This window comes from Homo sapiens, chromosome 4 (assembly GCF_000001405.40).
Source record: "Homo sapiens chromosome 4, GRCh38.p14 Primary Assembly".
Classification (NCBI taxonomy): domain Eukaryota; kingdom Metazoa; phylum Chordata; class Mammalia; order Primates; family Hominidae; genus Homo; species Homo sapiens.
Window position 1 is genome coordinate 183,975,758 of NC_000004.12, and position 13,972 is coordinate 183,989,729.

Below are 13,972 nucleotides of genomic sequence, written 5' to 3' on the forward strand. Positions count from 1 at the left end.
ATCAATTCTGTAAGATCTTTTTCAAAAAACAAAAGAGGAGGCAACATTTCCCAACTCGTTTTGTGAAGCCAGCATTATCCTGGTTACCAAACCAGACAAAGTTAGTACAGTAAAAGAAAACTGCAGACCAATGTCTCTTAGGAACATAGATGCAGAAATCCTTCACAAAATATTAGTACATTGAATTAGGCAATAATAAAAATAATAACAAGTCATGACCGAGTGGATTTAGGCTTGGAATATAAGGCAGCATTTGAAAATCAGTCAATGTAGGGCTGGGCACAGTGGCTCACAGCTGTAATCCCAGCACTTTGGGAGGCCAAGGCAGGCAGATCATGAAGTCAAGAAATCGAGAACATCCTGGCCAACATGGTGAAACCTTGTCTCTACTAAAAAATACAAAAATTAGCTGAGCGTGGTGGCACATGCCTGTAGTCCCAGCTACGCAGGAGGCTGAGGCAGGAGAATTGTTTTAACCCAGGAGGTGGAGGTTGCAGTGAGCCAAGATTGCGCCACTGCACTCCAGCCTGGGCAACAGAGCGAGACTGCGTCTCAAAAACAAACAAAAAAAAAGAAAATCAGTCAATGTAATCTATCATATTAACATACCAAAGAAGAAAAAAACCACACAATAATATTAACAGATTCAGAAAAAGAAGTTGACAAAATTCAACATACATTCATGATGAAAGCTCTCAACAATCTATGTAGGATTAAAAGGAAACTTCCTTGACCTGATAAAGAACGTCCACAAAAATCTGCAGCTATGATAGCTATAGACACTGCAGACTACTAGAGGGGGAGGGAGGGAGGGAGGAGGGCATGGATTAAAAATTACCTGTGGGGTACTATGCTCACTACCTGGATGACAGGATCACTCATACCCCAAACCTCAGTGGCATGCAATATACCCATGTAACAAACTTGTGCATATACCCCATATCTAAAATAAAAGTTGAAGAAAAAGAAACCTGTAGCTAACATCATACTTGATGGTGAAAGACCTAATACCCTCCCTTTAAGACTGGAAACAGGGCAAGGATGTTCACGTTTACCATTCCTGTTGAACATGATACTGGAGTTTCTATCCATTGGAATAAGGTAAGAAAAAGAAATGAAAGGCTTACAAGCTGTAATAAAACTGCCTGTTTGCAAACAACTTGATTGACCATATAGATAATCCCAAGAAATTTACAGAAAAAGTTCCTAGAATGGCATTGCCAGTTAGATGCAAGATTGTATAGCCAGTCTGGAAAATAGTTCAGTAGTTTCTTAAAATTTATTTTTATTTTTATAGATTTAGGGATGTCAGTGTAGTTGTATTAAATGGATATATTGTGTAGTGGTAAAGTCTGGGCTTTTAGTGTAACTGTCACCCAAACAGTGTACATTGTACCCAATAGGCAGTATAATAGGTAGTATAATAGGTAGTATTTGATCCCTCACTTCCCTTCTACCCTCCTACTCTGAAAGACTCCTTTCAGAGTCTTTAATGTCTGTTATTCCACCCTGCAATAACTTTTTGAGACTGGCTTCTTTCACTGAGCCTAATGTTAAAATGTATCCACGGGATTAGAAGTGTGTAAGGCACAACATGAAGGAGTTCTTTGGGGTGATAGAGCAATTCCATATCTGATTCTGCTCCCACTTATAACTGTACTATAAATACAGTTTTTGCCTTACTAGTAATTTCACTTAGGATAAGGGCCTCCAGTTCCACCCATGTTGCTGCTTTTGCATGCAAAAGCATGATTTAATTCTTTTTTATGGCTGAGTAGCATTCCATTTCGTGTGTGTGTGTGTGTGTATCACATTTTTAGTCCAGTTATCTGTTAATGAACACTTAGGTTGGTTCCATATCTTTCCTCTTGTGAGTAGTGGTGCAATAAACATACAAGTGCAGGTGTCTTTTTGGTAAAATAATTTCTTTTCCTTTGGGTAGACACCCAGTAGTGGGATTGCTGGATCAAAGGTAGTTCTATATTTAGTTCTTTGAGAAATCACCATACTATTTTCCATAGAGGTTGTACTAATTTACATTCCCACAGACAGTGTATAAGCATTTCCTTTTCTCCACATCCTCACAACATCTGTTGATCAGTGATGTTTTTCATATGTCTGTTGGCCTCTTGCCTGTTTTTTTGAAAAATTTCTGTTCACATCCTTTGTCCACTTTTTAATGGGGTTACTTGTTTCTTTCTTGTTGAGTTATTTGAGTTCCTTGTAGATTCTGGCTATTAGCCCTCCATTGGATGCATAGTTTGCAAATATTTTCTCCCATTGTGTAGGATGTCTGTTTACCCTGTTGATTATTTCTTTTGCTGTGCAAATGCTATTTAGTTTAGTTAAGTCCCATTTGTCTTTTTTTGTTTTTGTTGCATTTCCTTTTGAGGACTTAGTCATAAATTCTTTGCTTTGACCAATGTCCAGAAGAGTTTTTCCTAGATTTTCTTCTAGGATTTTAATAGTTTCAGGTCTTACATTTAAATCTTTAATCCATCTTGATTTAATTTTTGTATATGGAGTGGGATAGGAGTCCAATTCTATTCTTCTACATATTGGCTTTCCAATTTTTCCAGCAGCATTGATTGAATAGGGTGTCCTTTCCCCGTGTTTTATATTTTTGTCAACGTTGTCAAAGATTAGTTGGTTGTAGTTATGTGGCTTTATTTCTTGGTTCTCTATTCTGTTCCATTGATTTATGTATGTATTTTGGTACTAGTACCATACTATTTTGGTTACTATAGCCTTGTAGTATCATTTGAAGTCAGGTGATGTGATGCCTCCAGAAACTAACAAAGAGTCTGAATAGCCAAAGCAATCCTACTTCAGTAGTTTCTGATGAAGTTATATGTATCCTTACCATATGATCCAGCAATCCCATTCCTAGTACTTGCAACAGCATGGATACATTTTAACATTAGGCTCAGTGGAAGAAGCCAGTCTCAAAAAGTTACATGCTATATGATTCCATTTATATGACACTCTAGAAATGGCAAAATGATAAGGAAAAATAACATACCAGTGGTTTCCAGGGATTCGAAGTGTGTAAGGCACAACATGAAGCAGTTCTTTGGGGTGATAGAGCAATTCCATATCTGATTCTATCCTGAGTGATGGCAAGGAGGCAAATCTACACATGTGTTAAAACTTACAGAATCTGTACATCAAAAGAGGCCTCAATTTTGTATATGTTAATTTTCAAAATTATGTTAAAAATATGAGTTTTCTTGGCAAAAGTGAATGGTACCCGATTTTATTATTCTGTTCTCACATTGCTATAAAGAAATACCTGAGACTGGGTGATTTATAAAGAAAAGAGATTTAATTGGCTTGTGACTCTGCAGGCTGTAGAGGAAGCATGGCAGGATCTGGTTCTGGTGAGACCTCAGGGAACTTACAGTCATGGCAGAAGGCAAAGAGGGAGCCAGCATTGTTGGATGGCCAGAGCAGGAGAAACAAAAAGGTCGGGGGGCGGGCTAGGTGCTACACACTGTTAAACAACCAGATCTCAGAATAACTCACTCACTCACTGTCACAAGAACGGTACCGAGGAGATGGTGTTAACTCATTCATGAGAACTCCACCCCTATGCTCCAGTCACCTCCCACCAGGCCCCACCTCCAACACTGGGAATTCATTACAATTTGACATGAGATTTGTGCAGGGACACTGATCCAAACCATATCACTGATATTCTTGTGATTGCCTATTGATTAACCAGATCAGTACTGTCCAGTATAATTTTCTGAGATGATGAAAATGTTCTGTATCTGCTCTGTCCAGCATTGTAAATACTAGCTACATGTAGCTATTGAGCACTTGAAATAATATTTTATTATTATTTTAAATGTTATTAGGAACTAACAGTATTAGTTCCTAATTTTCAGTTAATTTAAATTAAATAAAATTAAATATTAGTTCCTCAGAAAGTTCCATACGACACTATGACATAAACTTTTTCTGCCCTAAGTTCTTCTAATCAATGTCCTAAGAAGACAAGGAAGGAAAAGATGAAAGTAAAAGGAGAAAAACTGAGAGCTTATGATTTTTTAGTTAAAAATCCAGATTCTAAATATATTGTTAGGTCTTATATTTCAGGTCTTATGTTAGTTCCTCGGGAACTAATATTTTAGGCCCGGTCATGCCGAGTTCACCTTTGTGATGAGAATGTTTGGCCAGTATTATTCCTGAGGAACTAATATTTTAATTTTATTTAATTTAGATTAACTTATAATTAAATAGCCACACATGCCTAGTAGCTACTCTATTTGACAGCACAAATATAGATAATTGTATAATCACTGTGATCTTAGAAAACAAATTATGTTATTTTTATTCATTCAGAGAGATAAAAGAAATTATGACTAGTTTTTACTTTTTTACATCAGGATTTTATGACATTTTCTAGCTTTATAAACAAAAATGCATGATCCAACTTCCATGAGGTGATATAGGGAGGTGATACTGAGGATGAGGCTAATGTACATTAAAGATGTTAGTAGGAGAGTAGAAGTTTATGGCTGTGATACGAAAGGTGTAGAGGAGAGCAAAGCCCAAATAATGTTTACTTTTAAGCCAGCGAATATTGGATTGTTTTTGCGTGCTGAAAATAACTATACTTTCACCAGGCGAACACAACAGTCCGGATACTGTTGTCATTCTTGTCAGTAGGGATAGAGGTGGACATTAGGAGTCTGTCCCCGGATACGGAGGTGTCGGGAAAGCAGCCCTTGGAAGGTCCCTGCAAACCTCCCTGAACTGGGTGTTCCATTGTGGTGTGCCCCTTCCAACTGGTTCAACTGGGGACTGTGAGAAGTACAAATTCAGCCTGGTCATGCTGAGTTCAGCTTTGTGATGAGAATGTTTGGCCAGTATTTCTTTACTTTACACTCCGTCTGGACTTAGTTTGGAGCGAATTTTTTTTCCTTCTTATTCATAGTTTTTTTTTTTTAGAAGTATGGTGATACTTTCTTTTCATGTATGTTTACTTTTCATTCCTCAGTTAATTGGAAGCACCTTGAGGTCAGAGGTTGATTCTATTGCTATGTCTGCTTTGTAAAAATATGGCAGTCTTTGCCACCTTCATATTTTTTTCCCAATTCCATCTTGCAGGGAAGGAATGCAACCCACAGAGAGGATAACTCAGTTCTAATTAAATAAGCCAGGGACAAAGTCACTCAGTTTCTCAGCTCTTTGACCTTATAACTAATTCCAGCTAAAAGAGCTCTAGGACTCAATAGCAGTATATGTTTAAAGCAACAGAAATACTGATGATAGTTTTGAAAACTAATTGGGAAATACCATTTTTAGGGCGTATTTTTAGATGTAGTTGTTGTTTCCCAAATTGGGGGCATATTTGTCCCAAGGGATTGGGGCCATACACTGGCAGGTTTATACATCCTCAAGATGAATGTGGATGGTCTCCCTAAAGGGTCAGTTCACTTGTAAATTTGGGAAAGTAATATTGAATGGTGTTCATTGTAAACAAAGTTTTAAACTTTTGTTATTAGGACAATCAGGGTTCTATTACAGAGTAGAATGCATAGACTGTATGAATTTCAGGGCGTCTTCACAGTAGAATCTAATTGTTTTTCCTCTGCATATTGGGGGCTTCTGTGGGCCTCCATCATTATTCTCTGCAGTTTAAATACTAGATACGAGATAGAAACGTCTGAGATACACTCAGGCATGTTTTAACCCAGTCGGTTGGAAATAAATAGTCTGTAAATCCAAATGCTGTGTAATAAAATTGTAATGGAGAAGGGCAACACTTCGTTTTTCTGTGCTGTCTCATCGTTTTCTTATTGTTTAATGTTAAAACAACAAATTTAGAATCTGGCTTTTTAACTGAAAAATCATAAGCTCCTCAGTTTTTCCTCGTTTTACTTTCATCTTTTCCTTACGTGTCTTCTTTAGATATTGATTAGAACAACTTAGGGCAGAAAAATAGTTTATACCACAATGTGGTATGGAAAAAATTAGATATCTGCATACTTCATTTGTAATTTTTTATCCAAAGTGCACCTGCGGCTGGGCGCAGTGGCTGACGTCTGTAATCGCAGCACTTTGGGAGGCCGAGGCAGGGGAATCACTCGAACCCAGGAGGTAGAGAGGGTGCAGTGAGCCAAGATTGCACCAGTGCACCCCAGCCTGGGCAACAGAGTGAGACTCTGTCTCAAACAAAACAAAACAACAAAACGCAAAGTGCATCTGGAAAAGCCTTACAGTTGACTTTTCTTTCGATATATTTTACAAGGTGTTGTGGAGTAATGGAGGGACACCTGCACTGAGAATCAGGGGACCTGAGTGCTAGTTCTGGTTTTGCTAGTAAATCTTTGCAACCTGGGCAAGTCACCTTCCCACTTTGGGCTCTAGGATTATATACGATTAAGTGATGATGTACTAGATGTTTTTCTGTGTCTCCTCCAGCTCTTACCTGCACTTATTCAGTATTCCCAATCCTATGAGAATTGACTTTTGAGAATTTAAGTAACAGAATAGCCATGTTCTTCACTTCATGTTCATAGTGTTGCTCTCTAATACTTGTAAGAACACCAAGTGTATTTTTTAAAAGTATTTCGTTTCCTTACATATACAGTGCAAGGAAATCTTACCCAATTTAATTGAAATGGTTTCTTCCACCACTTAGTCAATCCTGGGCTATAAAGGCCCTAAAAATGTAGGAACTTTCTGTTTTCCAAACTGCTTTTGTTGAGTTTTTAATTTGTGTCTTTTTTTAAAAAAATCAATTTTATGCAACTAAGAAAGTATAATCTGTTATTGGTGCCCAGGGTTTTTGTTTAGAGAATTTCTCCTCTTCCCTTTATTTCTCAGTTTGTGCTAGTATTCTACCCTGGGCACTACTCCAAATGTCAGGCTACTGCTATAGCACAGATAGTCTTTTCGATAGATTCTGGGGAGGTAGTGTTAGGTGCGTTGTGAAACTCATGCATTTCTGATAGCATTGCAGTATTTCATGTTGGAAATGTTGGATAGTACTTTTGTGAAACAGAAAAGTTATCTCACGTCTCTCTGCTTCTCTCTGTTCCCTGGTTAAGCACTCTTTACATTTTGTTCACTCTCTCACAGTAGGCTTTTACCTTGCCTCAGTAATTATCTTTTCCTTTGGATGCATCCTATACCCTGTTGCCTGCATAACCTAAACATTCAGCATGAGGAACATCTCCCCTGTAGAAACCTTTAATGCCATTCTCCAGGTATTTAATGTTATCTTTATCCCAGCCTGACTGACTCTTTGGCCTTGTTGCTACCAATCTCCTTCATAGATCCCTCCAACCCAGCCATGCTGAATCTACCACCAGCCATTCTCCAAAACATCTTAGACTGTCTAACCACATCGTCTCTGTTCATACTGCCTTGCTGCCTGGAAAGACACTCTCATCTTGCCTCTCCCCACCCCTTTACTCGCCCATCCTGTGTGGCTGCCTCAGTGCCTCTTCCTTCCTGAAGCACCTCTCAGTTCCCTCCATGCTTCCTTGATGGCGCTTTTCTCATATCAGAAATAACCATCTTTCTTTGCTCTCCTGGTCCTCTTTCCCTCTTTGCCTTGAATGACATAGATGCTGATGTTGAACAATGAATATAGGAGCGGTACTCATTCATCGTTACTGTGACCTCAGCCACATGCTAGGATCTCACGTGCTGTGTTTTATAAGTGTGTTTTGAGTCGAAAGGAGGTTTAGTGGAATATTGTCACAGACTAGGATTGTTTTCTCCCCGACTGGTGCAGTCTTGAAAAAGGAAGAGAATCTTGACACCGCAGACTTCTGAGTTGTGATAGGAGTCCAAGAAGTCCCTGGGGGAAGCCGCGTCTGACCATATTGTCAGCATCCCTTCCCTCCTGGGAGTTGCCATGAGCTTATAAATGTTTTTGGAGAATGGAGGTGTCAGGCTTCTTTGGGAGGAGACTTACTAAGGGCCATCTAGCAAATGCTGAGTGAAACTCATTGCAAATATAAAGTGGGCCATTTTCCTATCCATTAAAGACTGTTCTTTAAATTTTTTTTAATTGATTAATTTTTAGAGAAGGATCTTGCTCTCTTTCCCAGGCTGAAGTGCAGTGGTGCAATCATAGCTCACTGCAGCCTTGAACTCCTGCCCTCAAGTGATATTCCTGCCTCCCAAAGTGCTGGGATTACAGGCATGAGCCACCGTGCGCCATGTTCTGAATCTGACCTTGGGCCACCCCTCTTGCCTTCTCTTCCTCTACTTCCCAGTAATGAACCCTCAGCCCCAGGCAGGCCTGCCTGCCTTATGATCCCCACCTCCCTCCCATCCACACCTCCACACCTTGTCCATGCTTCCTCCCTGCAGGTCAGTCCTCTCCTTCCTTCAGCATAGATTTAGGGTCTGCTGTTGGCTAGCCACTTTCAGGGATATACCTGTAAACACAAAACATGCAAAAAGTATCCCTGCTCATGGAGCTTATGTTATGACATATGGGCTGTGCTTTCTCTTTTCTTTCACCTGTCCAGATTCTAGAACAAGTTGGCCTTTCCGTGGAAGCCATTGCTGACTGTTTCGACCCCGGTTCTTTTCTTCAAAATTCTTGGGGGCACTGGTTACCTGTTCCTCCCCTTTGAAATACACTGCCTTGTATTTTTGCACTTTTTATATGTGAGTATCTTACCTCCTCAAGTACATTTGAAGCTTCTTGAGGGCAGACACCATGTCATTTGTCCATGAGAGAGTGTGCACCAAGGTTTGTATACTCCATATGTACACAACCTTAAAGATTAAAATTTAAATTCCTGAACTGACCATAGGACTTTGCAGTTAGGCACCTGATAAATATTTTTAATTGATTTAATGGTATTTATTGCTGTCTGCTTTTTCAAGTGGAGCAGCTCTAAGAGCATGCGAGACCATTAGCCATCAAGCGTTTATTAAGATCCTCCCCGTGTCCCTATGTGACGCTGCTATTTAATCTGCTGCCAAGGACGCAGGCGAGTGCCAAGCACAGCCTCTGCCCACACTTCATCAACTGAGCAAATCACCTCTGCGGTCCTCTGTGTGATGTTCGTAAAGCTTTACTGTAACACCGAAGCTGTTATCCAAAGATGTAAGAGGCACGGGGCCAGGAGGAGGACTGCTAATGATGGCTGCATGTGATTCTTGAGCTCATCTTGCCATCAGACGCCGAGATTTAAAGCATCAGCAGACCGTTCTTGTCTTTGTTTCTCAGTGGAGGCCAATGGTGTCCATTATGAAACCCACCGTACTCTCGGTAGGGCAGCAAGATGAGCTTGTGGTGGTTTTGCCTGACCGTGTATATTCTTTTCCATGGTCCTTCAATAAAAGTCTACTCAGGGGCAGTCGTTAGGGGTCATAGACCCCAGCAGAAGCAACTTCTACGGGAGACCCCACTTGTGACCTTGACCTCATTGGTCCATGTGCCAAGTAAGCAGATTGTGTTCAATCTAAATTTAAAAATTGACATATAGGTTTTGACATTTTTTTGTTTACAGTGGCTTTTTTATTTTAATTATCAAGAGGTAACACGTGTTGTTGAAAGAACAGACTTTCAACAGCAATGGTTGTTGAAGATGATTCATGTAGGAAGTCTGTAGAACAGCATACATAAACGTGTAAAAGGTAAAATTGACTTTCAGTGGCTGAAAGAACAGACTCGAGAGCCAGCTGCCTTGGGTTGAAATCCCATCTCTGCCGTTCACCAGCTCTGTGAGCTTCAGGAAGAGAGTTCCCCTCTTTAAGTGGGGCTCACACCAGTACTTAACTTTCAGAGTCCTTGTGAAGATGATGTGAGTTTCTAAGTACAGACATACTAGGCCCATATATAGATGAAAACATGCATGCTTGGATATTAGAAATTATGACTACATTTTTATTTGTACATTCTCATCCCTTCGAGTATTTGGATTTTTTTTCTTTCTCCACATATTTAACCTTTCATAGATCATAGAAGAAACTTGTGTCTTTAACTGTCAGGAGGTGGTACAGTGACCCAGGGCTTCCCAGAAGGCTCTTACACTGCCAGGACTACAGATATGTCTGTTTAGATATGAATTTGTAATACATTTGTTATATGCTTCCATCATTGCATTCTTAAGGTGCGTGTGCTTATTAGGCACCCTGTCTGACCTTACAGTGATCAGACCACGCCCGACAGGAATGGGCTGGATTACATGGGTTTGGGTGGATTTATATCCAACAACACAGCCAGACTTAAAGAGGTTTGATGAAAGGCGAGTGGCTTTGTTTGGAGGCGCTGGTGCTGGGCCCTAGGCTCAGTCTGTGGCATGCATGAGAAGCTAGTGGCTTATCAACGAGGAGAGAAAATCATACCCTAGAAGGGAAAATCAAGACCGTATTTGGTTAAGTATGTGGAGAAAGAAAAAAAAAACAAATACTTGAAGAAAAGGGATGAGAATGTATAAATAAAAATGTAGTCATAATTTCTAATATCCAAACATGTATGTTTTCATCTGTATATGGCCTATTAGGTCCTTATATGCTTCTGATCAAGCATACAAGGTAAAATTGATGAGGCTGTTAAAAAGTGCATCAGTAGCAGTTGGTGTGGAACACATTCTCAAGGGGGTCACAGGGTGACAGATAGTCCAGGACAGGGAGGAGACAGTGCCACGGGGAGGACTCAGCAGGAGGATGCCACGTCGTCAGAGGGAAATGGATACGCCAGACCAGAGCAAAGGGGGGACCCCAGGAGGGCAGAGGATGTGAAAAGCGTTAGGTGGTTGAGGGCATGGAAGACGTTTTATTTAATAACATTCAAAGCAAGCATCTCAATGGATCAGTAGATGAATATATAGTCTGCATGCCTGCTGAGTGTCCCAGACTCTAGGCAGCTAGAGAAGAGCTGATCTGGGCACAGGGACCTGGTTAGTGTTTGTAGCTATCGGATGGGTGATGGCGCAGAAGCGGGTTATACGTTTTGTAGCCTCCCGAGGACAGAATGGATGTCACTGTGCAGGGGTGACAAGAGACGCTGATTTGAACTCAACTCACAGGGGGGCCTTTGCCAGAGCCTGAGCTCTGTTGGGGGAGGTTCTGGAGGACAGGCTGAATCACCGGAGTCAGGAGAGGATAGGACGCTTTCAGGATTTTAGCCGGGAGACCCACGTGGGGACCCCTGTAACTCTGAGTTTCGGGGGCGCCTTATGAAGAGCTTCAGTGCATTTCCCATCTTTGCTGGCACCCCACATTTTGTGCCCCTGGTAGCTGAGCTGCTGGGTTCATGAGGATGTGGGAGAATTTGCTGCAGAATCGTCTGCCACCCACCTCTATGGGTTTCTGAGAATGAGATAATTTTTCGGTTATCCGGATCCTGAGCGGAGGCAGCGAGCGGTGCCTGTTTTGGCGTTATTGGATTTGGGAGAGTTCGGCAGTACCACTGCCGTGAGATTCGTTTCCTTGGCCTCTCTGACTCCATTTTTCTCGGGTTTTATGTGGCTGCTCTACTCCTTCCATTGTGTTCTCTCTCTCAACTGCCGCCCCCGTCTTCCTCCTGAGATGTTTACGTGTTGCTTCTTGCACTCTAAATAAAGACTACATGTTTTCTCTGCTGGCATAAATTCCTCTGTGTGTGTGTGTGTGTCGGTGTGTAAATGCATGTCCGCAGGTGTACACGTGAGTGATTCAGCCTGGGGTTCACAATGAGCGTGGCACCCGTAGTGCAATGAAAAGGACATTTTTATGCAGATACGTGATTCATTTTCACCTTGCTGATCTTAGCCGTAGACATTTTTAAGAAACAGGGGAGGAACCAGCCACCCCCCAAATCCCATGAATCCCACTTCTCGGTGCGATTGGAGTTGTGTTGTAAGCGCAGGAGAGGCTCCTGCTGAGAGCGAGCTCCTGACATAGTGACCTCATTCCCCACGCCGCCCTCCTCGCAGCGGCAGAAGCCGCACTGGCTGGTGCTGGGTGAGCTCCACCGCTGCCCGGGCTGCGAGCCTGACGGCTGTGTGTCGGGAATGACGAGACCCAGGCTTGCAAAGACTTGCACGGCAACTGGAATTTATGACAAATAGCTCACTGCAGCTAAACTTTGATACAGTGTACAGTAGAACCGCCTGTTACACACAGGAGGGAGACGCGTCCTTCGTCACCATGCAAAGCCAGCCTTAACACAACATAGGAAAATGTGGCAGGTCTCTAATTACGGACTGGTGAGTATATGACGCCAGATCAATTTTAATGTGTGTGTTCTCTCTTCAAGCATCTGGAGGTATGTGCCCTTTTTACCTTTTTCATGATTAAAAAAATATGAGTTGGTGCTAATGCATGGGAGGGGACCTGGGCCCCTTGGAGAGGAGAGTGTGCCCCTCGCCACCCCGCGCCTGGGGTACATTCTGACCTCGCGTCTCCGCACTGCACAGACAAAGGAGCCTGCACAGACAAACAGAGGCTGTAGCTTTTCTTGGAGCGATGACTCATTTCAGTTCACAAAGGATTCTGGGCAGGGCAGTGAGAAGTCAGGTTGGCTGATCCGTCCCTGTGACTTCACTTTGCAGAGAACAAGCAGAAGAGGAGTGACACTGCAGATTCCGAGGCACTGCAGTGGGATGTTGGCTCAGCAAGTGGCTGTGATGTACGGGATAGGCATGGAACAGGATTCCAGCTGTTCCATGCAAATAGGATAAAAGAATGGTAAAGAGGATTCCTTTTTTTTTCCCTCCTCAAAACGTTACCAGCAAAGTACATTCACAGAGCCTTTTTAAGGTGCCTTTTGCCAGCTTTTGAACTGAACTTGTACCAGTATCTCAAGCCCTGAATTGTAAGAAGAGCTGAGAGTTCTGGAACTCATTTTTAAAAAGTAGATCTACGAAGGTAAAGTACCAGATTCCTCTTGTGTTCCACGGGCCCTCAGTAGCCAATCTGAAATGCTCATTTAGGATACTATGACTTGAAACTTTACTCTTTCTTCTTATTCCAGATTCTAGGACGTCCGTTTCTGTTACTGGCTCCTTCTTGTGCTTGGATGCAGCTCCCTAGCATGCACCAGGCTTTAGCGTCAGTGCTACCTGGGGGATGGAGCCAGTCCAGAAAGGGCCAGGTAGGTTTCCCCTGCTTTTATTTCAACAGTTGTTGTGTGCAAAGGAATATGGTGAAATGTCAGCACCACCCGTGAAGAGGGTGCACGGTCCTCTGAGAAGTCTTGCTGTTCCGCTCCTCCCGCAGCCTCAATCTTAGGCAGTCCAGGTCCTCCCACTGTGGGCTGCCCACCACACACGACCTCACCAGCCCAGGTCATCCCAGAGCTGCTCACGGGGACCGAGAAGTCCACAGCAGCAGGATTTGCCAATAGGAAATAATCAGACTGCCCCAGATTTCCCTCAGCTGTATATCTATCTCGCTCGCTGCTCTGAGGGAGGCATTCAGTAAATAGTATTTGACATTTTTTCTGGTTTTTTTTTTTTTTTTTTTTTTTTGTTTGTTTGGTTTGGTTTGGTTTTTTGAGACAGAGTTTTGCTCTTGTTGCCCAGGCTGGAGTGCAATGGTGTGATCTCAGCTCACTGCAACCTCCGCTTCCCGGGTTCAAGCGATTCTTCTGCCTCAGCCTCTTGAGTAGCTGGGATTACAGGCACGTGCCACCACGCCTGGCTAATTTTGTATTTTTAGTAGGGACGGGGTTTCTCCACATTGGTTAGGCTGGTCTTGAACTTCTGACCTCTGTTGACCTGCCTGCCTTGGCCTCCCAAAGTGCTGGGATTACAGGCGTGAGCCACTGTGCCCGGCCTCGACATTTTTTCTTACCAATTAATATATAGTGCCCGAAATTTTGCATACTGTTTGGCCTGTTAACCTACATGCAATGCACTAAAATCCAAGAAAGCCTGATTTATGTGCCCAGGGACTGTTTCCAAGACTAACATCATATTGAGGCTGCTGTTAACTGCTAAGGAAGTAAGCATATTTCATCATAGTCTGCTTTAGGATTCAGATTATGACAGAGCTGTTTTCTTAC

The 13,972-nt window shown here is 42.2% G+C and overlaps 1 protein-coding gene across 8 annotated transcripts in view, besides 1 other annotated feature; it reads left to right on the forward strand.

Annotated features, from left to right (window-relative positions):
• The window catches only part of STOX2 (storkhead box 2), a 225,509-nt gene that overhangs the window by 177,736 nt on the left and 33,801 nt on the right, over window positions 1–13,972 (forward strand). For 3 of the 8 annotated variants that reach the window (XM_047415989.1, XM_011532131.2, XM_047415990.1), the window contains exons 1-3: window positions 11,902–12,173; window positions 12,519–12,834; window positions 12,941–13,060. The exons of 3 other annotated variants lie outside the window; for them this stretch is intronic. Coding sequence is in view for 2 of the 5 variants with exons in the window: in XM_047415990.1 (XP_047271946.1) it covers window positions 13,036–13,060 (25 nt within the window). In the remaining 3 variants the exon portion in view is untranslated. Of the gene's footprint in view, window positions 1–11,901; window positions 12,174–12,509; window positions 12,835–12,940; window positions 13,061–13,972 lie in introns of those variants that run through there. 2 more of the 8 variants (XM_017008467.2, XM_024454157.2) reach the window with 2 other exon arrangements.
• Window positions 12,180–12,966: an enhancer, noted in NCBI's record as "H3K27ac-H3K4me1 hESC enhancer chr4:184909090-184909876 (GRCh37/hg19 assembly coordinates)". NCBI's record gives its function as "activates a minimal SCP1, AML or CMV promoter by ChIP-STARR-seq in naive H9 embryonic stem cells {active_cell/tissue: H9 hESC(naive)}" and the evidence as "EXISTENCE:reporter gene assay evidence [ECO:0000049][PMID:30033119]".